This window comes from Homo sapiens, chromosome 22 (assembly GCF_000001405.40).
Source record: "Homo sapiens chromosome 22, GRCh38.p14 Primary Assembly".
Taxonomy (NCBI): Eukaryota; Metazoa; Chordata; class Mammalia; order Primates; family Hominidae; genus Homo; species Homo sapiens.
Window position 1 is genome coordinate 24,169,337 of NC_000022.11, and position 20,166 is coordinate 24,189,502.

Genomic DNA, 20,166 nt, shown 5'->3' on the forward strand with positions numbered 1-20,166 from the left:
GGTCCCTTTGTTCCAGGTCCCCTAGCAGAGGGCTGGTAGCTGCCTTTGGGGTCCAGACGGGCTTCCTTCTCAGTGGAATGGAGCCTCAGGCCCCCACCACCTGCCTGGGCTATTACGTCTGCGGAAGCCCTCGAGGTTCAGCTTTGACCAAGCAGGCTGTGGGCCAGACGAGGCATGCTGTGGGGAGTAGGTGGGCCTGGTCCCCAGCTAAGGGCCAGAGTCCTTGACAGGGAGTGCCCCAACCCCCAGCAGTCCCCACCATTTCATTGTCCAGCTAGGCAGAGTGCATAGCACAGCTGTCTGGGCCCCAGTGCTGGGCGCAGGCCCAGGCCCAGGTCCACCAGGGTGCCCCTGCCTCCTCCACTGGCCCAGGTGGAGCAGGTGGACATGGGAGTGGTGATCACTCAGGAGATAGGAGGGCTGTTTCTGCTTTTGACGTCCTTAAAAGATAGACCCACACAGGAAACCCCCCCACAACCCCACACTGTAGCGTGAGAAGAAAGGGCTACTGAGTTGGCAGGAGCCAGGGCTGGGCCAGACCCCATTTTGCCGAGGCACATGCATATTGGGGCCCCTGAGGGCTGGGTGAGCAGAGATTTCCGTCAGAGACCTCGGAAGACACAGCCTGGGTTATGGGGGTGGCCAGAGCCAGGGGACCCAGGTCCTTACCTTTCAGGTTGCCTGCTGCTGGGCGACGCCAGGCCAGGCCCCAGCAGTCTCCTCCCAGTTTGTGGAGGGGAGTGGCAGGGAGGAGGCCCTAATGACCCTCAGACCTACCTGCCTGCTTCCCAGACCCTGGTGCGGTGGGGGCGCCTTGGTATCTGCCGTGGGCAGATTTGCGTTTCCTACCTAGGATTCTTACCCTGGGCCCAGAGAAGATGCCACTGTAGGGGCTAGCTGCCATCCTCTGGTTCTCTCCTCCCTTAAGCCCAATCTTGGAGGCCATTTCCTGCCATCAGAGCCCATAGCTCCCGCCCCTCAGGGAGTGTCCATTTTGCTCACGGCATGTCCTTGTTGCCATGGCAGCCCTGAACCCGCCTGGAGGGTGCTCTGGACATAATTAGAGGCTCAGTGCCCACGGCTGAGGCCCGCTCCTGAGCGAGCACAGGGACACTGCACTCACCTTCCTCCAGCGTGTCTGCTCACGCTGCCAGCTAGGCTGCTACAACACCACTGGTATTGCCGCAGGCCCGCAGGGCCCGAGAGACAGGTCTGTCCTCCTGCCCCGCACTCCCACAGGATGGGCTGCCCACAGGACAAGGCTAGGCCCCAGAGCACCGGCCTGGGGCACATCCCAGACACCCAGTATGTGGCAGAGTCCACAGGGGCCCGTCCTGAACCATGTGGAATTGAGGAACAGGGCATTTTAGCAAAACCAATGTCAGAAGAGACAGGGTCATCGGTGGTAGCAAACTGCCCCCCCCCCCGCCCCCATGCACTGAGGTACCTACCTGCAGGCGTGTGACTCTCCCACACTCGAGGGGGTGGGGATGGGGGTGCTGTCAGCCTCATGTGGGCCAGCTCCCACAGTACAGTCAGCCTGGTGCTGGGGAGGGTTGAAGGGTGGACCCACTCCTCTGCTCAGCTGTGAGAGGCTGCCTCAGGGCTGCCTCACATCACCTCAAGACATGCTGTCAGGGCACTGGAGCCTTCACACCTGTCCCAGGAGGGCTGGCTGGGGGTGGGAGCAAAAGTAGCCCTGTGAAAAGAACCCCAAAAGGGCCTCATGGCAGAGGGAATTGTGTGGATGAAGACTCGGAGGCCCCTAGGGCCCGGCTCACCTGGAAATCGAAGGCCCATGGTGGGAGCAGTTGCCAAGGCCAGGCTGCAGGGAGAGGCCAAGCTGGGGGCAGCACTGGGTGCCGTGGCAGTAGGTCACAGTGGGTTGTGGTATCAAGCCCAGGAAGCAAACTCTTGCAGCATCCCACTAGCTCCCTCAGGACTCTCCCATGAGTGGCCATTGGGAAGTCACCCTCCAAGACTGACCACCTGTTCCTGCATTCCCTGGGTTGGGAGCTGCACCCATGCCTAGGGTCCTGCAGGACATAATCCTCCCAGACTGGCACCCTGTGGTGTGAGGGCAAGGCCAGCTGGAGGTCCTTCCACTGAGTCCCCACCAGTACGGCCTGGACATTCTCCCAGGGAGGGGTTCTGGGTCTCCAGCTGTGTCCTAGCATCAGCAGGATCCTGATGGGGTGCCTCTCTGATGGACCTTGTTGGCAGCATTGTGGGGGCTCAGTGGTGCCATATGGGCAGTGTTGGCAGCCCCAGGCGCACAGGATGTCCTGTGGGACAGCACTGGTCGGCTGGCGGGCAGAGCAGCGTGGGCTCAGGGCTGCCTAGCCAGCCTTTCTCACCTCTTGTTTGTCCTCACAGGCCTCGGGGGACACCCCCACCACTCCAAAGCACCCCAAAGACAGCCGAGAGAACTTCTTTCCTGTGACAGTGGTGCCCACAGCCCCTGACCCTGTGCCAGCTGACTCTGTCCAGCGGCCCAGTGATGCTCACACCAAGCCTCGCCCTGCACTAGCTGCCGCCACAACTATTATCACCTGCCCTCCGTCAGCATCAGCTTCCACCCTGGACCAGTCCAAGGACCCTGGGCCTCCCCGGCCACACAGGCCTGAAGCTACCCCCAGCATGGCCTCTCTGGGCCCAGGTGAGTCCCATCCCAGTCCAGAGCTGGGCCCAGGCCCCTGCCACCATCAAGTCCTCCCTGCGGGGAGAGTGTGAGTATGGGTAAGGGAGGCAAGCAGTGCCCTCCCGCCCAGTCGATCCCACAGGGTGGCGGGGCAGGTGACCGCGGGTCCACTCACCAGTCACTGGCAGCCTCGGTGGCCCTGGTCAGCACATCCTACATCTACCACTCTTAACCTAACCCTGGGTGCCTCAGTCTGTGAAAGGGGGTGGTGAGGAGGGAGGGAGCAAACACCATCACGGACGTGTTTGCTACTGTTTCCTCCCCACAAAGCCTTATAGTAAGTAGGAAGGATGGCTTGGTCAGGTAGGAAAAGGATACTAGCCCACACCAGGCCTCCCTCAGGGCACTGGGAGGGGTCCTGACCTTCAGCATGCTGCAAGGCCACTGGTATCCGGCCTCAGTTACCTGTGAGCAGTTCCTGGGTACCAGGCCCTACTGGGTGTGGGGCCAGCAGATCTGCTCAAACCCCATCTTGCCTCATGGGCAAGACAGAAGCCAGCCAGGATGAGGGCAGGGGCAGGTCAGGGGGCTTGTGAAGGAAAACAGAGAGGACAAAGGTGCGGGCAGTAGAGGGCCCTGCTGGCCTCATCGGTGAAAGCTCCTGTTCCTTCTAAAACCCAGGATCCATTGGAATGGCAGCCTGCAGACAGCTAAGCCACAGATCCTTCCTTTGGGGAGGGGATGTAGAGGCAGCGCTGCTACAGCCAGTGAGTGAGAGGGGAGTAGACAAGGCACCATCCCCCTCGCTGGTCCTGACACCAGCAGCTCTGGCAGCTGCAATTCTGCCAGACTGGGTTCAGCTCAGGCCTGGGCCAGGTTCCACCTGCCACCCAGGGCAGGGAGCCCTTCCCTGTTGGTTCCCAGGACTCTAGGACCATGTGGCCAGGCTCTGAAGGCCCTATAATAGGACAGGGATATTCCCTAACTAATTTGTCTCCCCAGCTGGTGGGGCCCCAGGAGAGACCAGCGTGGTCAGAGGGTTCCCTGTGCCCCTGGGGACATCCAGCGATGGACCAGTTTCCCCAACCCTCCCTTTCAGGCCCTCCCCTGCTTCTCCCTCCCTGCCTCAAGGACCCAGCCTGTTTCCTTGCCGCAGACCCTGCACTGGCCCACAGCCTGTGTCACCCCTGGAGGCTCACCTGTCTTCCCAGTTGAATTTCCTACCCATCTGAAAAACGAGACAGCCACTCTGCAGAAGTGCCCAGCAGAAGGCAGGCCTAAGAGCCCCCACAGACTGTGCGCCTGAGTGGAGGTTGAGTTGAGAAGTCTTCCTCAGCTCTTTCCCACGGTGGCTCAAGCAGCAAGCAGGTGCTGATGTTTTCACCTGATGCCATCCACACTGCTTTGAGGATTGTGAACATGTAGGCATCCTCTAGCCCAGTCAGCCTCGGTTGCACTGGTCGTGGCCCTGTGAGACAAAGAATTACTTCCCTTTGGGTCAGAACCTGTGGCCATTTGTTCCCAGAGGAGCCTGTGAAGGCTTCAGGACAAAGAGCCGTAAAAGAAGTGTAGTGCTGGCCAGGCGCGGTGGCTCACGCCTGTAATCCCAGCACAGTGGGAGGCCGAGGTGGGCGGATCACGAGGTCAAGAGATGGAGACCATCCTGGCCAACATGGTGAAACCCCATCTCTACTAAAAATACAAAAATTAGCTGGGTGTGGTGGTGGGTACCTGTAATCCCACCTACTCGGGAGGCTGAAGCAGGAGAATCGCTTGAACCCAGGAGGCAGAGGTTGCAATGAGCTGACATCACGCCACTGCACTCCAGCCTGGGCGACAGAGCTAGACTCCATCTAAAAAAAACGAACTGCAGTGGTTCTACCAGCATGTGACCTTGGCCATCCCTTTTCTTCTTTCTGCCTCAGTTTCCTGCATAAAATGGATAAGATGAAGATAATAGCACTGCAGGATTTGGAATGCTGCTTGGCGTTAAGCAGAGACTTGGTATGGGTTTTTTTTTTTTTTTTAATTTTTATTTTTTATTTTTAGTGGAGACAGGGTTTCCCCATGTTGGCCAAGCTGGTCTTGAACTCCTGACCTCAGGTGATCCGCCTGCCTCAGCCTCCCAAAGTGCTGGGATTACAGGAATGAGCCACCAAGCCTGGCCTGTTTGTTTTCCTCACTCTGTTGCCCAGGCTGGAGTGCAGCAGTGCGATCATGGCTCACTGCAGCTTCAACCTCCCTGGGCTCAGGTGATCCTCCTACCTCAGCCTCCCAAGTAGCTGAGACTACAAGCATGGGCCACTACGCCTGGGTAATTTTTGTATTTTTTGTAGAGATGGGGTTTCACCATGTTGCCCAAGCTGGTCTTAAACTCCTGGGCTCAGGAGATCCACTCGCCTCAGCCTCCCAAAGTGCTGGGATTACAGGTGTGAACCACCATACCCCGCCTGAGGATGGTGACGTCAAGGTGTGGGGGTGATGGGAGCCCAGTGCCGTAATCAGTTGGTCAGTGTTGGTAGCTGACTTACTCCCACGAAGACCCAGCTCCTGTCCCTCTGCCTGGGGCTGTCTTGCCTTGTACCAGTCCCATGCTCTCGTCTTGTAGTTTTTGAGGGTCAGGAATTTACAGTGGCTTTGTGGGGTAAAGTTGGCTCAGGGTCTCCCACGTGGTTGCAGTCAAGCTATCATCAGTGCATCTGAGCTCCCTTGGGGTGTTGGCAGCCTCAGGTCCTCACTGGTTATTGGCCAGAGGCCTCAGCTCCTCCTGTGGGCCTTTCTATAAACAGCTGAGTGTCCCCGGATCATGGTGACTGGTTCTCCCCAGAGCCATTGACCCCACCGAGAGAACACAGAGGAAGCCATGGTGTCTTTTATAACCTAATCTCAGCAGCAACTGAGATCTCTGTAGGCCACACACACCTCCCTGGGGTGTGGGAAGGCCTGGTGGATGCCAGGGCCAGGGGTAGCGGAGTAGGGGGCTAGAGACTGCCTGCTTTCCCTCTGCCTGCCTGTCCCACCATCAAGCAGGCCAAAGCTGTAATTCATGTCCTTCTCTCCTCTGTTAGATCTAAGAAAGAGGATCTGTTTCCTAGCATACCTTCTTCAGCCTGGAGAGTTGATCCTTTTCTATTCCCATTCCCAAAACCAAATTAAATGGCCTTTTGCCAGGATGGAACTGTTGAATGACACTGGGGGCAGGGGGCGAGGGGGTGGAGGCTTGAGACAAGGCCTCAGCCAGCCTGGGGCAGGAGCCTCAGGCAGAGCAGCTGGATGGGGATGGCCATGGCCGCTGAGGCCTCTGCCTAGCCCAGCAGTCGCCTGCTGGCCCCAGCTTTGTACCGGGAGCTGTCACTCCTGCTGACCAAGGAGGGGAGCTGGCTCCCCCTGCTGGAGAGGATGGAGGGCCTCCTGGCAGAGGAGCGGGATGGGGAGGCGGTGGGGTGGCTGGAAAGGCAGTGGTTGATGACCAGTGTGGTGGGAGAGTCCAGACCTGAGTGAGAAGGTGGGGAGCAGCAAGGGAAGTGAGGGCCTGGAGGCCTGGGAACCGGGGACCGATGCTGAGTAGTCACCTGGCCAGCAGCCACAGGCACAGCATTTGCCCCTCAGGCCCATCCCGGCCTTGGCCCAACTGAGCCCAATTCCTGGCCCCTGCCTCAGGCCAGGGAAGGTGTGGCTGGCTGGGCAGGAGCCATAGTGCCAGCGTCTACTTTGGTCTTAGTTGGGTTGTTTGGATTTTGGTCCTGACCTCGTTTCTGAATGCTGCTTATGTGAGCTGGAGGGAGAGTGGACACTGCCCCCCCATCCCCTCTCACTGCCTTGTGATGGGATCTTAAGAGAGGCTGGGCCTCGAAGACTCAGGTGTGGCCCCACTGGGTCAGGTGTATAGCCCTCTCGGGAGGCGGAGGAGCCCTCTGGGGGTGGGGAGCCAGCCCCTACCAGTGTCCTCTTGGGTGGTGAGTGGTTTCTTGGCAGCACCAACCTGGACTGCCTCAGCCAGGACCCCAGCATTGGCCACACTCCCCTGCCCAGTGTCCCAGGGCACAACCTGGGCCCATAGGACCTGACACAGATGCGTTGGAGCCTGCGGGGTGGATGAGTCTATTACCTGCAGTGAGCCCATGTCCCCACAGAGGGAGAAGAGCTGGCGAGAGTGGCAGAGGGCACCAGCTTCCCGCCTCAGGAGCCACGGCACAGTCCGCAGGTGAAGATGGCCCCCACAAGTTCCCCGGCAGAGCCACACTGCTGGCCGGCAGAGGCTGCCCTGGGCACAGGCGCTGAGCCCACCTGCAGCCAGGGTAAGGCGAGTTGGGAGCAGCCCAGCACCAGCCCCCAGGAGGCTGCCTCACAGCTGGCAGCCAGGGTGGGTTTCCCGGCCTGGCCTTGAAGGGCAGGGCCTGGGGATGCCCCATGGAATGAGATGGGGAGGAAATGGGGGTAGTGCAGGCTGGACAGGGGAGCCAAGGGAGAGGCCCAGGCTGAAGAGTTTAATGCGTGGCCCATTGTGTCAGGGGCTGGGTAGAGAGGGACCCCAGAGGCTTATTCCACCCCTGGCATCACGGAGGGGTACTAGCGAGGGCAGGCGGCCTGCTTGGGCCCACTGCAGAACCCAGGCTGAGCCCAGAGTGGGGAAAGAGGAGTAGGCATGGACAGGGCGGAGCATGGGCCTGGTGACAGACACTTGAGGGACATCAGCAGCAGGCAGAAGGGTGGACAGGTTGGGCTGGGCCAAGCAGGCGTCCCCGTCGACAGCCACGTCAGATTCTAGCCCTGGCCTCAGTCCGGCCTGTTCCCACCAGCTGCCCCAACCAGCCAGACCCCTTGGGGACTCCTCCTGGCCTGGGCCTCCCACAGACCACTTGGGATGGCAGGACCTGGCGCCAGCCCCTGGGGGCCAGGCATGGGCTCTGTGTAAACCCCATTCCTTTTAAAGCCATGGGGCTGCAGAGGAATGTGGAGACGAGCCAGGCCAGCCGGGTCCTCCCAGCTCGTGCAGCTCCCTAGAGGCTGCCAGGCCTGCAACTGGCCCAGCCTTCAGGCTCTGGGCAAACTCAGCCCCTTGCTCCCACTGGAGGATGAGGCGAAAGTGGATGCCCTGGGGCCAGCTCAGTGACCATGCCTGGCTGAGCGACCAGCTCTGGGCTTCAGTGTCCTCCCTGGGGCATAGACACCAATAGGACATGCATCCTAGGATGGTTGTGGAAATACGACAGTTCATGCAAGCATGATGCCTGGAGGTCTTACAGAACCCAGCAAGGCTCAGGGAGTCTCAGGTCCTGGGCTTTGAGTTCATGGTGTTACTGGGTAAGGTTCACAGTCCCAGCACCCCACAGCTCAGAGCCAGAGTTGGGTCCCTGCAGGCCTGAGCCAAGTATTTGCCCAGGGTAGAAGCCTTGGAGCCTGCCAGCCAGCACAAACTACACAGCATAAAGGCCCAGGACCTGGGGGGAGCGGGTGGGGGCGAGATAAAGTGCTCACTGTGTGATGCGGCAGGCAGGAAGTGCTCTTGGTACCTTTGTCTTCCAGAGGGGAAACTGAGGCCTGAGCCGAGAAGGGATGGGGAGGCTCAGGAGGCTGCGAGTGAGACTCAGCCCCTGAGCTCTCCCCCAACAGCTGCCAGCTCCAAGGCCCCCAGCAGTGGGAGTGCCCAGCCACCAGAGGGTCACCCAGGCAAGCCTGAGCCCAGCCGGGCTAAGTCCCGCCCCCTGCCCAACATGCCAAAGCTGGTCATCCCCTCCGCCGCCACCAAGTTCCCCCCTGAGATCACCGTCACGCCACCCACCCCAACCCTGCTCTCCCCCAAAGGCAGCATCTCGGAGGAGACCAAGCAGAAGCTGAAGGTGACCTCAGGGGCTGGGCTGGAGCCATGTGTGGGTGGGAGGCATAGGTTACAAAGGGGGCCTAGGATGGGGGTGGGGGTGGCAGGAGGGCCTGGGGTGTGGGTGAGGATGGCATAGGGGCCTGGGGCAGGGGTGAGGGTGGGAGGGGGGCCTGGGGCAGGGGTGAAGGTGGCAGAGGGGCTTGGGGCAGAGCCCAGCCATCCTTGACCAGTGCCCCGCCCGGCCCTCTCCGCAGTCAGCCATCCTTTCTGCCCAGTCTGCTGCCAACGTGAGGAAGGAGAGCCTATGCCAGCCAGCCCTGGAGGTCCTGGAGACATCCAGCCAGGAGTCCTCGCTGGAGAGCGAGACAGACGAGGACGACGACTACATGGACATTTGAGGGGCCACTGCAGCCCCACCGCCACGCCCCAGGGGACCAGCCAGGCCTGGAATGCCCCCTGGGCAGGACCCTGGGCAGGACCAGAGGCCCACATGGATGCCACTCCCCACACAGCCCCCAGGCCTGCCCAGCCCACCTCCTCATGGCATCCTCCCTGTACCCAGGTCAGGCTGTCCACACCACATGGGAGCCCAGAGGAGGAGGGGCCCGCCTTAGCCATGTGAAGGTGGATTGGTCGCCATCTGCACGCCAGGCGGCATCCTTTTCTATGAAGTGTTGACTTTGTAAATCTGCCCACACCCAGCTGGCCATATCCACCCCTCGACGCCGGGATGAGCCGGCTCTGCCTGTGTCACAGTGGAGGGGTCCTTTAGGGCCAGGCTCACCCCTCACCCTTTTTTTGGTTGCTTTTCTAATAAAGATGGAACAGTTGTCTTTGCCTCTTTGCTCACCTCTAGGGGGCAATCTGGCAGAGTCTCTGGCGGAGAGTTGCTGTCCCCAGGGATTCTGGGCCTTTACTGCCATAGTCCATAGGGCAGGGCCTAGCCCCCCTCCTTCTCCAGCATCTCAGGGACCAGCCAGGCAACCAAAGCAGCGGCTGGGGGTGCCCAGTGGGGTAAGGAGAGAGCCGACTCGGGGCTGGGCCAGGCAGACGCCTCTAGTGCAGCTGGAGCCAGGCTTCAAAGGGGAGTTAGGTGCATCCCCAGAACGCACCTGGGTGCCAGTGGGTGGGAGGCTGTACGGTGGGAGGGCAGGCAGGGCTGGGGCAGCTGAGAGGCTGGGAGGAGGGGGCTGTCAGGGAGGGAAAGGGGGGATGGGGCCGGCAGGGAGGGTACTTAACTCCCATCACAGTCGCCCTAATGGGGCCAGTCACAGAATAGCTGGGCTCAGTGCAAGACATAAATATGAAGCTCCTTGATCAAAAAGGATTAAGGATTTTTTTTTTTTTTTTTTTTTTTTTTTGATATGGAGTCTCACTCTGTCTCCCAGGCTGGAATGCAGTGGCACGATCTGCAGTGGCACGATCTCAGCTCACTGCAACCCCCGCCTTCTGGATTCAAGCGATTCTCTTGCCTCAGCCTCCCGAGTAGCTGAGATCACAGGCACACGCCAACACGCCCAGCTAATTTTTGTATTTTTAGTATAGACGGAGTTTCACCATGTTGGCCAGGCTGGTTTCAAACTCCTGACCTCAAGTGATCCACCCACCTTGGCCTCCCAAAGTGCTGGGATTACAGGCCTGAGCCACCACCATGTCTGACCAAAAATGATTAAGGATTTTAAGGCAGGCCCCACAGAGCATTAAGCCCCTAGAGCTGGCACCCTTCACAACTCTCTTCCCCTCCCAGCACCGCAGGGGCCCTCCTGGCCCTGGGACCTCCCATGGAGCAGGCTCTCTGTCCAGGATGGAGATGGGGACCCTCCTCACTGCCCTGTGCCCCTCATGGGCTGGACATGCCCACCACCCAGGAGGAAAGGCGTAAAGGGCTGGGCACCGCCCTTTTGGAACCAGAGGCTTGGTGGCCCCAGATGGGTCTGGCTGAACCCGCCTTTCGGGGGGCTGAGATAAGCCAGCCCCAGTTACTCAGCTGACGCCCCCTCCCTGCAGGGCCTGGGGTATGGAGCTTCCCAGACTGCACACCTAGCCCCTACCGCACTTCCATTGTCTCCAGACACGCGCAGCAACGGTGCCCAGGCCAAAAACAGGAAGCAGCAGCTCTCCCTCCTCCAGTTCCCGGGAACTGTCTCAGCCGATCCCCCAGCACCCCTCCCTGGAGCCTCACCTATAGGAGGACGGACACCTCGGACCCTCCCCTGCACCCAGTGCTGTAGGGAGCAACTTCAGCCCTGGGCCTGGGATGAATGCCCTCGCCAGCCTGGGGCCAGGAGACAGGCTCTCCCTGGCTCAGCACCTGAGCGTCCACTTACAGGACACTCACCTGCAGAGGTGCCCTGAGCGCCATTGTGGGTTAAGGGACTTTCTCCCCTCTGGAGACAGTCCCTGAGAAGCTGAAGGTCTTGGGGGCCTCTCACCAAATGTCTTTGGGAGGTGGGAAAACATCAAATGCGGGTGTGGCTTCCCTGGAACAGCTCTGTGTGGGGACTCAGGAGCCAAGTCCCCCAGCACACGCCTCTAACACTTTCAGTAGGGGCCACCTCTCTGGAGCCACGGGTGGCTGCCAACACCCTGTGGTTCCCAGCAGGCACCACCCAGGCAAGAGAGAGAACAGGCCGGGGAACAATGGGCTGGCCTGGCCGCAAGCGCTGGGGCAGATCACAGACCGGATGGCCTAAGCTCATGCCCTGGGGCCACCTCTGACTCCCTGCAAGTGTGGCAAGGGTCCCTTTTGGACACCTTGAGAAGCTGCAGCTGGGAGAGGACCACCCGCCTGTCTGGATGTCCAGCCCAGGTGTCAGGGTCCAAATGACCAGTCCCAGGCCGCAGCCCTTACCACCCGCCCTGGCTGCAGGGGCTCCCAGAAGCCACCAAGGGCCTGGCTCGGCCTTGCCTATCCGCATCTGAGCTTCAGTTTCCTCATCTGCTCAAGAAGGGAGGTGAATACTGATTAAATTATGCAAACTCTTAGCGGCAGGATTAGGTGTGGCTGGGACAGCCAAGGCTCCCCAGGGTGGTGGCATCTCTGGAGCCCGGGGATGGGCCCTGTCTCCCTTCCGGGCCCCCCGCTGGGCTTGGGTACCTTCTCTCCCCTTCCTCCTTCCTCCCTCCAGAGGGGACCCCTGCAGAGCTGCCTCCGCCCCAGGGCTCAGCCTGTGTCTGACCCAAACAGCTCCTGCCTCCCCCTGAGGATGAGTTGGGTGCACCTCCTTCCTGCAGGAAGATGAGGGCTAGAGATGGAGGTCTATGTCAGGGCCACAGAGTCTGGAATCCTCCCTGGAGCTAAAACAGCCCTGCCTTATTCACCCTGCGCATCCCATCCTCTGCTTCAGCCCCGCCGGGCTCGCCCTGCATGCAAGGCGGGGCTGGGACCCAGGGTCTGAGCTTCGCCCTCTGGACATCCGGCTCATCGCCTGCCAAAGGTCCTGTGGCTGGAGGCTCCGGCCTCCTCACCCTCCCACAGGGTCCCAGGGCCGATCCAGGCCTGCGGGCCAGGAATGTGCTAACGGGGCAACTTGGGCCTTGCTGGTCCACGCAGGCACCTGTGGACTTTGAGAGGGGACTGGGTGGGGAGGGGCGGGGAGGGGCGGGGCGGGGCGGTGCCGCAGAGTGCAGGGCGGGCGGGGCCAGGCCAGCAGGGAGTGAGCTTGTCTGGCCGCCTCGCCTCGGAGCCACTGCACTGCTGGCTGCAGACACAGGCTGCACCATGAAGCCAGCCCTCCTGCCCTGGGCCCTGCTGCTGCTGGCGACAGCCCTCGGCCCGGGCCCCGGACCCACAGCAGGTATGCCTCCCTGCCCTTCTGTGTCCCCGTCTGTCTGTCCATCTGTCTGCAGCCAGGCCTGGGCTGACATCCCTCTGGGCTCAGCCTCTGTCCATCTGTCAGGCCATCTGTGGCTGTGCTAGGGGTGATGGGAAGAAATTCTGAGGGTCCATGTGGAGGGGCAGCCCATGGGGATGGGAGGTCTGAGCCGGGCCCACCCTAAACCTGCTGGTAGCTAGGAGGGAGGCGGGGGAGACCAGCAGAGGCCTCCGCCTGTGTCCCCAGCCCTGACAGGGCGGGATCACGGAGGGGGAGCCAGGATTGTGGGTCCTCATCAGGGTGGGGCTGAATCCAGGAAAGTCTAGGGAAAGCCCCGAACTCCAGAACCAGGACACTGGTCCCAGGCTGCCCCCCGTCCCCCACCCCATTTCCCATCGACCCTCTTGCCACTTATCTCACTTGCAAGCATCTCTCGGCCTCCTCCCCCGACCCCTGTGCGCCACCAAATCCTTGGCCAGTACATATTTATTGTTGCTTTTAAGTGCCAGGCACTGCACTTGGTGAAGTGGGGCCAGCGGGGTGGCTCAGGCCCAGGCCTGGCCCTCGACTGGCCTCTTTTGATGGGGGATGGGGAAGGGCCAGGGAAGTGCAATTCCAGCCTGGGTGCATGCACCTGCCCCAGTCCCTCCCTGCAACCCTTCCTTCATGCCAGCCCCTGGAAATATGGCCTTGCCCACCGGTCTTATGGCCCATAGGAGAAGTTTTGGGCCCGGCGCCCACAGCCCCTTGTGGTGTGCACCCCCACTTCCCTTTCCCCACTGCTGGGACCCCTGCTTGAAATGTCCCTCCTCTCCCCAGAAAGGAGGGGAGCGGCCCTGGCCTTCTGCCCTGAGCACGGAGCTCTCTTTGGGGTCTCAATTGCAGCCCCTGGGAGAGCGAGAAGTGTCACGTTCAGACCCTGCACCATTCCCTACCAGGCCTCAAATGAGACTCTTGGCAGCCATATCCCCCACCCCAGTCCAGGCAAGCAAGAGGGGTTCTTCTGCAGGCTTCAGGGCCCCCAGAAGGCGTGCTGACCACAGACACCCTGGGGAGCCAAGAGAGGTCGAGGGCTCCAGCTACCGTGGCCCACTGAGGACCCCTGCCTGTGGGATAGAGGACTTGGTGGCTGAAGGGCAGTCATGCCCAGGGGCTTCTCCTGACCCTGCAGGGCTGAGCGGATGCAGCTTTTTGCCTCTTCTCGCTGCATTCTAGCCCGTCAGTCAGGGCAACAGCCAGATGGTCTGTGCTAAGATTCATCCCATCCCCACGGGCCCTGTGGCTTTCTACTGTGTCCACCTGGTGGCCTGTGCAGTTCCTGGCCAGCGTTCTCCTGGGGATGCTGCTGTCTAATGGGCTGTGGGAGAAACAGAGACAGGCCCTGCACATGGGGCAGCCAGTCCAGTACCCGCCGGGCCAGGCCCTCAGCATCCTCTCCTCCAGATGCCCAAGAGAGCTGCTCCATGCGCTGTGGCGCCCTGGACGGGCCATGTTCCTGCCACCCGACGTGCTCTGGCCTTGGCACCTGCTGCTTGGATTTCCGGGACTTCTGCCTGGAGATATTGCCCTACTCAGGATCCATGATGGGCGGCAAGGACTTTGTGGTGCGGCACTTCAAGATGTCCAGCCCCACAGACGCCAGTGTGATCTGCAGGTTGGGAGGCCCAGGAGGCCGGGCACTGGGGCCCCACGCCCCCATCCCTGTGCATGCTGAGGGCTCAGACCCACTGACTGGCTGAGTGGAGCCCCTCGGACCCAGGACAGGCAGGAGGGCACAGGGACAGCTGGCTGGTTGGGTTCCCCAGGGAGGTTGGGGGCCCAGACCATCGAGAGGCTCAGCCTGCAATGACCCAGCCCCTCCCACCACCACCACGCCCACAGGTTTAAGGACAGCATCCAGACCCTCGGCCATGTGGACTCCTCCGGGCAAGTGCACTGTGTGTCACCTCTGCTCTATGAGAGCGGCCGCATCCCCTTCACTGTGTCACTGGACAACGGCCACTCCTTCCCTCGTGCGGGCACCTGGCTGGCTGGTGAGCCCTCCTCCCTGCCCACAGCCTGCCCCCACGGGGACTTTCCCCAGCGCTAATCTATGCACACCGAGACTTGGCCTGTCCGTGCCCTGCCTCTCTGGCTGAACCAGTCCCTTGGGAGGCCTGCCCGCCTGCGAGAGTTCCTTCAGCTCCTTTCCACTCCCTGGCATCCAGACCGCGGTCCCAGCCCAGAGTGAGTGGGAGCTGCAGGGGTCCCTAGAGAGGTGGGCCAGTGCCTATCCACTGAGCTCCGCCATGCCAGGGCAGGGGAGAAGCCAGGTCGAGGCTAGAGGCGTGGGCAGTGGAGGGAGGGCAGGCCCCTGCCTCTGCGGCCTCAGCGTCCTTTTCTGCTGTGCGGGCCAGAGAGACCATCACCCAGCTGCTGCCATGCATTGGCCCTGGAGGCTCCCACAGCCCTTGAAGCCTCAGGGCCTCCTCCCTGCTTCCCTGGGCCCAGGCCCTCACTCACCCCTCACCTCCCCTGCCCAGTGCACCCCAACAAAGTGTCAATGATGGAGAAGAGCGAGTTGGTGAACGAGACGCGTTGGCAATACTACGGCACCGCCAACACCTCAGGCAACCTCAGCCTGACCTGGCATGTCAAGTCGCTGCCCACGCAGACCATCACCATCGAACTGTGGGGCTACGAGGAGACAGGTGAGGCCAGCTGAGGGCTGGGGTGGCATCAGAGCTTTGGGCCCCCAGAGGGGGAGAAAGGGGGTCCCAGCTGTGTGGGAGGAGGAAGGGAGTTTCCAGGTGGGGTTGAGGAGGGAAGGGAATTCCAGGCAGAGATTGAGGATTCGGATGGAGGGAAGTGCAGGTCAGGGGGGTCAGGCAGGTGGGAGGGGGCAGCTCATGGGGCCTGGCTCCAGGGGAGGAGGCTCATGAGGAACCCCTGCACGGCTGGCATGGCCCTGGGCCCAGCTTCCAGCAGGGACAGGGATCCTGGAGTGTGGCAGGAGGTGATGGTCACCCAAGCCGGGGTCCCTGCTAGAACAGCCCCTCCTAAGGGGACCGCCTGGCGGTCCATCCACCCATCTGTCAGGCTGCTGTAGGTGGCAAGGCCTGGGGCCAGGCCTCGAAGGAACCCCAGGGCTAACCAGGCATCCTCTCCCTCAGGAATGCCCTACTCACAGGAGTGGACTGCAAAGTGGTCGTACCTGTACCCCCTGGCCACACACATCCCCAACTCCGGCTCTTTCACTTTCACCCCAAAACCTGCTCCTCCCAGCTACCAGAGATGGCGAGTGGGTGCACTTCGGATCATCGACAGCAAAAATTACGCAGGGCAGAAGTAAGAAGGCATGGATGTGCAGGTGATGGCTGGAGGGCCTCGCCGCCCGAGGCCCATCATGCTTGCCTGGGCAGCCCAGGCTGGGGGTGGGGAGAGTGGGGCGACCATGGGGTGGTGTGGGCTGGCCCAGCTCCAGCATCATCACCTCCACAGGGACGTGCAGGCGCTCTGGACCAACGACCACGCACTGGCCTGGCACCTGAGCGATGACTTCCGAGAGGACCCTGTGGCCTGGGCACGAACTCAGTGCCAGGCCTGGGAGGAGCTGGAGGATCAGCTGCCCAACTTCCTGGAGGAGCTGCCGGACTGCCCCTGCACCCTGACCCAGGCCCGGGCTGACTCCGGCCGCTTCTTCGTGAGCCTCCCATCAGGGCCCAGGAGAGGGGATGAGGGGTTAGCCTCCCCACTGAGGACAGCACCAGGGGAGGCAGACAGAGGTGTCCTGGAGGGTGGGGCTGGGGTCTCAGGACCCCTGCAGGGTTGGCCTCAGGGAGGGGATGACAGAACCCGAGGCCACTGGGTGACAGCCACCTGCTGCTCTGCAGACGGACTACGGCTGTGACATGGAGCAGGGCAGCGTGTGCACCTACCACCCCGGGGCCGTGCACTGTGTGCGTTCTGTGCAGGCCAGGTGAGCCCCCAGGCTGGGGCCGGTATGGGGATTGGGGTCAGGGGTGGGCTCCCAACAGTGGCCTGGCCCTGACTCACTGGCTCCTGCAGCCTCCGGTACGGCTCAGGTCAGCAGTGCTGCTACACAGCGGACGGGACGCAGCTCCTGACAGCTGACTCCAGCGGCGGCAGCACTCCCGACCGCGGCCATGACTGGGGCGCACCCCCGTTCCGCACGCCACCCCGAGTGCCCAGCATGTCCCACTGGCTCTACGATGTCCTCAGCTTCTATTACTGCTGCCTCTGGGCACCCGACTGCCCCCGCTACATGCAACGGCGGCCCTCCAATGACTGCCGCAACTACCGGCCCCCAAGACTGGGTGGGTGCCATCCCGTGCCCCAGACCCTGGGAAAGATCGGGCTGGGCTGGGGTGCACCCCCACGTGACCCTCCACTCTCACCCTAGCCTCCGCCTTCGGAGACCCACACTTTGTGACCTTCGACGGCACCAACTTCACATTCAATGGGCGCGGAGAGTACGTGCTGCTGGAGGCAGCGCTGACCGACCTGAGGGTGCAGGCGCGGGCCCAGCCCGGGACGATGTCCAACGGTGAGGCCAGGGCTAGGGGCTGCTCTGGTTGGCATGGGGTAGAACCAAGGTGGGAGGCTGGAGCCAAGTGGCTCCCGTTCTGCTCCCACCACCGCAGGCACGGAGACCCGTGGCACTGGGCTGACCGCAGTGGCCGTCCAGGAGGGCAACTCAGATGTGGTGGAAGTCAGGCTGGCCAACAGGACCGGAGGTCTGGAGGTGCTGCTGAACCAGGAGGTGCTGAGCTTCACCGAGCAGAGCTGGATGGACCTGAAAGGTGAGCAGTCCAGCCACGCGAGGCTGCGGGCTGCCCTCACCTCCTCCCCATTCCTGCAGGGAGACTGAGGGGAAGCCCTGGGCCTTCATGCCTCTCCCAGTCCTGGCTAGAGGCCTGGGTGGTCCGACCTCAGGCCTTCACACCCACCGAGGTGCCCCCGTCGTACCCACCTGGTCAAAAGCCGAGAGGCCGTGACGGTGGGACATGTCCTCCCTACGGAGGATCCCGGGAGCCTTCTGGAGGGGAACTCACCCTGGTAACGTTCACCGCTGGCCTGCACAGAGCCACTCCTGTGCTCCTGTCACTCCCTCAGTCCTCAAAAGCCACTGCAAGGTCTCCAGCCCTGCACGGTTAAGGATGCCCCTGGCAAGTGGTAGCTCCACATCTGAACCCCTTGCCTCAGGGAACTGAGTCAATGAAAGGATTCCTGGTTGGGATGGGTGAGGACCTGGGAGGGGCCTGTCAGCACTGAGGGTTCAGGGACCCTCGGGACGTGCCCAGGCAGGTGTGGCTGCTGCAGCCAAGGCCAGAGGGACCCACACGTGCATCTCAACATGGGGGATTCACTGCAGGGGCTGCACCTCAGGTGCCGCTGGGAGTTCCACCGCAAGCATGGCAGGGGTGGCGGAGGGTCATGGTCAGCAGAATTGGCCCCGGGAACGCCCTCCCTTCCCCTGCAGGTGCCCTCACCCACAGCCCCTGGGTGCCGACCACCCTGTCCTGGGGCTGCGGGAGGGGACAAGATGCTCACAGCGGGTGACCCTAATGCATCCCCCTTGAGCCCAGGAATGTTCCTGTCGGTGGCTGCCGGGGACAGGGTCTCCATCATGCTGGCATCAGGGGCCGGCCTGGAGGTCAGCGTGCAGGGCCCGTTCCTGAGTGTGTCCGTCCTGCTGCCTGAGAAGTTCCTCACCCACACCCACGGCCTCCTCGGGACACTCAACAACGACCCCACCGACGACTTCACCCTGCACAGCGGGCGCGTCCTGCCCCCAGGCACCAGTCCCCAGGAGCTGTTCCTGTTTGGGGCCAACTGTGAGTGACCGTGGAGTATATGGGGCAGACGGGGTGGGGGTTACTGGAAACATGGCACGGGCAGGGCTTGGGGACCAAAGGGAGCCATGCCCAGCCAGGCCCCGGTCATGTATCTTCCAGGGACCGTGCACAATGCGTCCTCCCTGCTCACCTACGATTCCTGGTTCCTGGTCCACAACTTCCTGTACCAACCCAAGCACGACCCCACCTTCGAGCCCCTCTTCCCCAGTGAGACCACCCTCAACCCCAGCCTGGCACAAGAGGCAGCCAAACTATGTGGGGACGATCATTTCTGCAACTTTGATGTGGCAGCCACTGGGAGCCTGAGCACGGGCACTGCCACTCGGGTGGCCCACCAGCTGCACCAGCGTCGCATGCAGAGCCTGCAGCCAGGTGAGGGCGGGCAGGTGGGGGTGGGCGGGGAGCTGGGACAGGACCCCCCGGGGTGGCCAGATGTGTGTATGCATGGCAGCTCAGGCCTGTTGTCTGCACTCTGTCCCCATCCCAGTGGTGTCCTGTGGCTGGCTGGCCCCACCTCCCAACGGACAAAAGGAGGGCAACAGGTACCTGGCGGGTTCCACCATCTACTTCCACTGTGACAACGGCTACAGCCTGGCCGGGGCAGAGACCAGCACCTGCCAGGCTGACGGCACCTGGTCCTCACCCACCCCGAAGTGCCAGCCAGGTGAGGACACTCTGCTCATACACCTGCCTGCACCTGTCCCCACTCACCACCCCAGAGAGCCCCCTCACTGACACTCGCTCCCTCACCAGGACGCAGCTACGCGGTGCTGTTGGGCATCATCTTTGGGGGCCTCGCGGTGGTGGCGGCGGTTGCGCTCGTCTATGTGCTGCTGCGCCGCAGGAAGGGCAACACGTGAGACCCCCCAGCCCCTCTCCCAAGACCCCGAGACAGCCGGTGGGACCACCGAGGCTACTTCTAACTGCGTTTCTGTTGCAGGCACGTCTGGGGTGCACAGCCCTGATGGGAGCAGCTTGGCTGTGAGCACCAGGCCAAGACTCCTGAGAACAGGCAGCCCAGTCCTGCGACTCCCGCATCCCCAGGACCAGACACCTGGGACCTGGATACTTGATACCTGGGCATTTAACCCCCTACTCTGTCATCTCAGACCCCAGGCAGGAGGCCCAGTGTTCCAACACCCAAGCCCCGTGCTAGCAGCGCTCCGTGCTCTTCCCCAAATACTCACGGCTCTAATTCCCCAAACCTGAAACTTCATACCCTGGGATTCTAATACCTATGTCCTGAGCCCTGACACTCCCACACCTGAGCCTCAGATTCCAATAGCTCACTCCCTAGAGCCTGACGCCGGGGCCCCTGACCCCTGAGCCTCAGATTCCAATACCTCACTCCCCAGAGCCTGATGCCGGGGCCCCTGACCCCTGATCTACGGAGGCCTGCTCCCGGACCGTGCGGGCACCAGTGCAGTGCTGCCTTGGTTCCTGGACCCCTGGGCCCATCCTGGGACCCCAGATGGGGTAAGGAGAGGCCCCAGAACCCCAAAGCAGACAGCGAGACCCCCAGCGGCAGAGGCCTCCCTCGGCACTCCAGGCTTATAATTTCGAACTCTTCTGGAAGGTCACTCAGGAACACCCTCCCTGCCTGTGCAAAGAGAAAACAAGCGCCTTGTTTCCTTCCCTGGTCTCCTGGTGTTCATGCTGCGCCCTGGTTCTGGAGAGTTCCATGACCGCCTCCCGGGGTCACCACCAACAGTATCCAGAGTGAGGCAGGTCTGAGCCCTGCCTGCTTCCTCCACGAGGTTGCCGGGGATGCTCCCTCCCCAGGCTCTCTCTCCATGTATGCAGTGGGATGGAGAACTGTGGCCGCCTCGTGGGGTGGGGAGGCCGCCAACACAGCACAGGGCTCACTTGGGTCACTCAGGAGATGGAGAAGGACAACCCCTCCCTCAACAGAGGTGCCACCCCCTCACCACGCCCTGGCGTGCTCTGGCAAGCACTGCCCTGCAGCCTCGGCTCCTTGGCTGGGTGCAGTCGCTGGCAGGATCAGTTCCAAGTCCTCAGGAGACCAGCGCC

At 62.0% G+C, this 20,166-nt stretch overlaps 2 protein-coding genes across 49 annotated transcripts in view, besides 4 other annotated features; both read left to right on the plus strand.

The window, feature by feature from the left end:
• The window catches only part of CABIN1 (calcineurin binding protein 1), a 167,325-nt gene extending 158,033 nt beyond the window's left edge, over window positions 1-9,292 (plus strand). For 37 of the 48 annotated variants that reach the window (XM_047441218.1, XM_047441219.1, XM_047441232.1 and 34 more), the window contains 4 exons: window positions 2,377-2,659; window positions 6,775-6,939; window positions 8,168-8,481; window positions 8,717-9,292. In XM_047441218.1, the coding sequence (XP_047297174.1) occupies window positions 2,377-2,659; window positions 6,775-6,939; window positions 8,168-8,481; window positions 8,717-8,860 (906 nt within the window). In that variant the 3' untranslated portion in view covers window positions 8,861-9,292. The remainder of the gene's footprint in view (window positions 1-2,376; window positions 2,660-6,774; window positions 6,940-8,167; window positions 8,482-8,716) is intronic. The other 11 variants (XM_047441226.1, XM_047441221.1, XM_047441224.1 and 8 more) reach the window with 1 other exon arrangement.
• Window positions 5,771-6,630: an enhancer, noted in NCBI's record as "H3K27ac-H3K4me1 hESC enhancer chr22:24571075-24571934 (GRCh37/hg19 assembly coordinates)". NCBI's record gives its function as "activates a minimal SCP1, AML or CMV promoter by ChIP-STARR-seq in naive H9 embryonic stem cells {active_cell/tissue: H9 hESC(naive)}" and the evidence as "EXISTENCE:reporter gene assay evidence [ECO:0000049][PMID:30033119]".
• Window positions 5,998-6,057: a silencer, noted in NCBI's record as "silent region_13544". NCBI's record gives its function as "represses an Ori minimal core promoter by ATAC-STARR-seq in GM12878 lymphoblastoid cells {active_cell/tissue: GM12878}" and the evidence as "EXISTENCE:reporter gene assay evidence [ECO:0000049][PMID:35858748]".
• On the plus strand, window positions 12,151-19,770 carry SUSD2 (sushi domain containing 2). The gene is made up of 15 exons (NM_019601.4): window positions 12,151-12,259; window positions 13,721-13,931; window positions 14,159-14,310; window positions 14,800-14,967; window positions 15,430-15,604; window positions 15,758-15,959; window positions 16,150-16,235; window positions 16,325-16,593; window positions 16,680-16,823; window positions 16,921-17,079; window positions 17,866-18,114; window positions 18,235-18,507; window positions 18,623-18,799; window positions 18,889-18,991; window positions 19,076-19,770. The coding sequence occupies exons 1-15, from the start codon at window positions 12,184-12,186 to the stop codon at window positions 19,098-19,100; spliced, it is 2,469 nt and encodes an 822-aa protein (NP_062547.1). The 5' UTR covers window positions 12,151-12,183; the 3' UTR covers window positions 19,101-19,770.
• Window positions 14,121-14,200: an enhancer, noted in NCBI's record as "active region_18762". NCBI's record gives its function as "activates an Ori minimal core promoter by ATAC-STARR-seq in GM12878 lymphoblastoid cells {active_cell/tissue: GM12878}" and the evidence as "EXISTENCE:reporter gene assay evidence [ECO:0000049][PMID:35858748]".
• Window positions 14,271-14,380: an enhancer, noted in NCBI's record as "active region_18763". NCBI's record gives its function as "activates an Ori minimal core promoter by ATAC-STARR-seq in GM12878 lymphoblastoid cells {active_cell/tissue: GM12878}" and the evidence as "EXISTENCE:reporter gene assay evidence [ECO:0000049][PMID:35858748]".

Bases quoted from the DNA above. Each gene is read 5' to 3' on its own strand.
- SUSD2 (NM_019601.4), top strand. From the start codon at position 12,184: ATGAAGCCAGCCCTCCTGCCCTGGGCCCTGCTGCTGCTGGCGACAGCC. The intron at 14,968-15,429 runs GTGAGGCCAGCT...CCTCTCCCTCAG, and splicing joins GTGGGGCTACGAGGAGACAG to GAATGCCCTACTCACAGGAG. The intron at 16,824-16,920 runs GTGAGGCCAGGG...CCACCACCGCAG, and splicing joins GCCCGGGACGATGTCCAACG to GCACGGAGACCCGTGGCACT.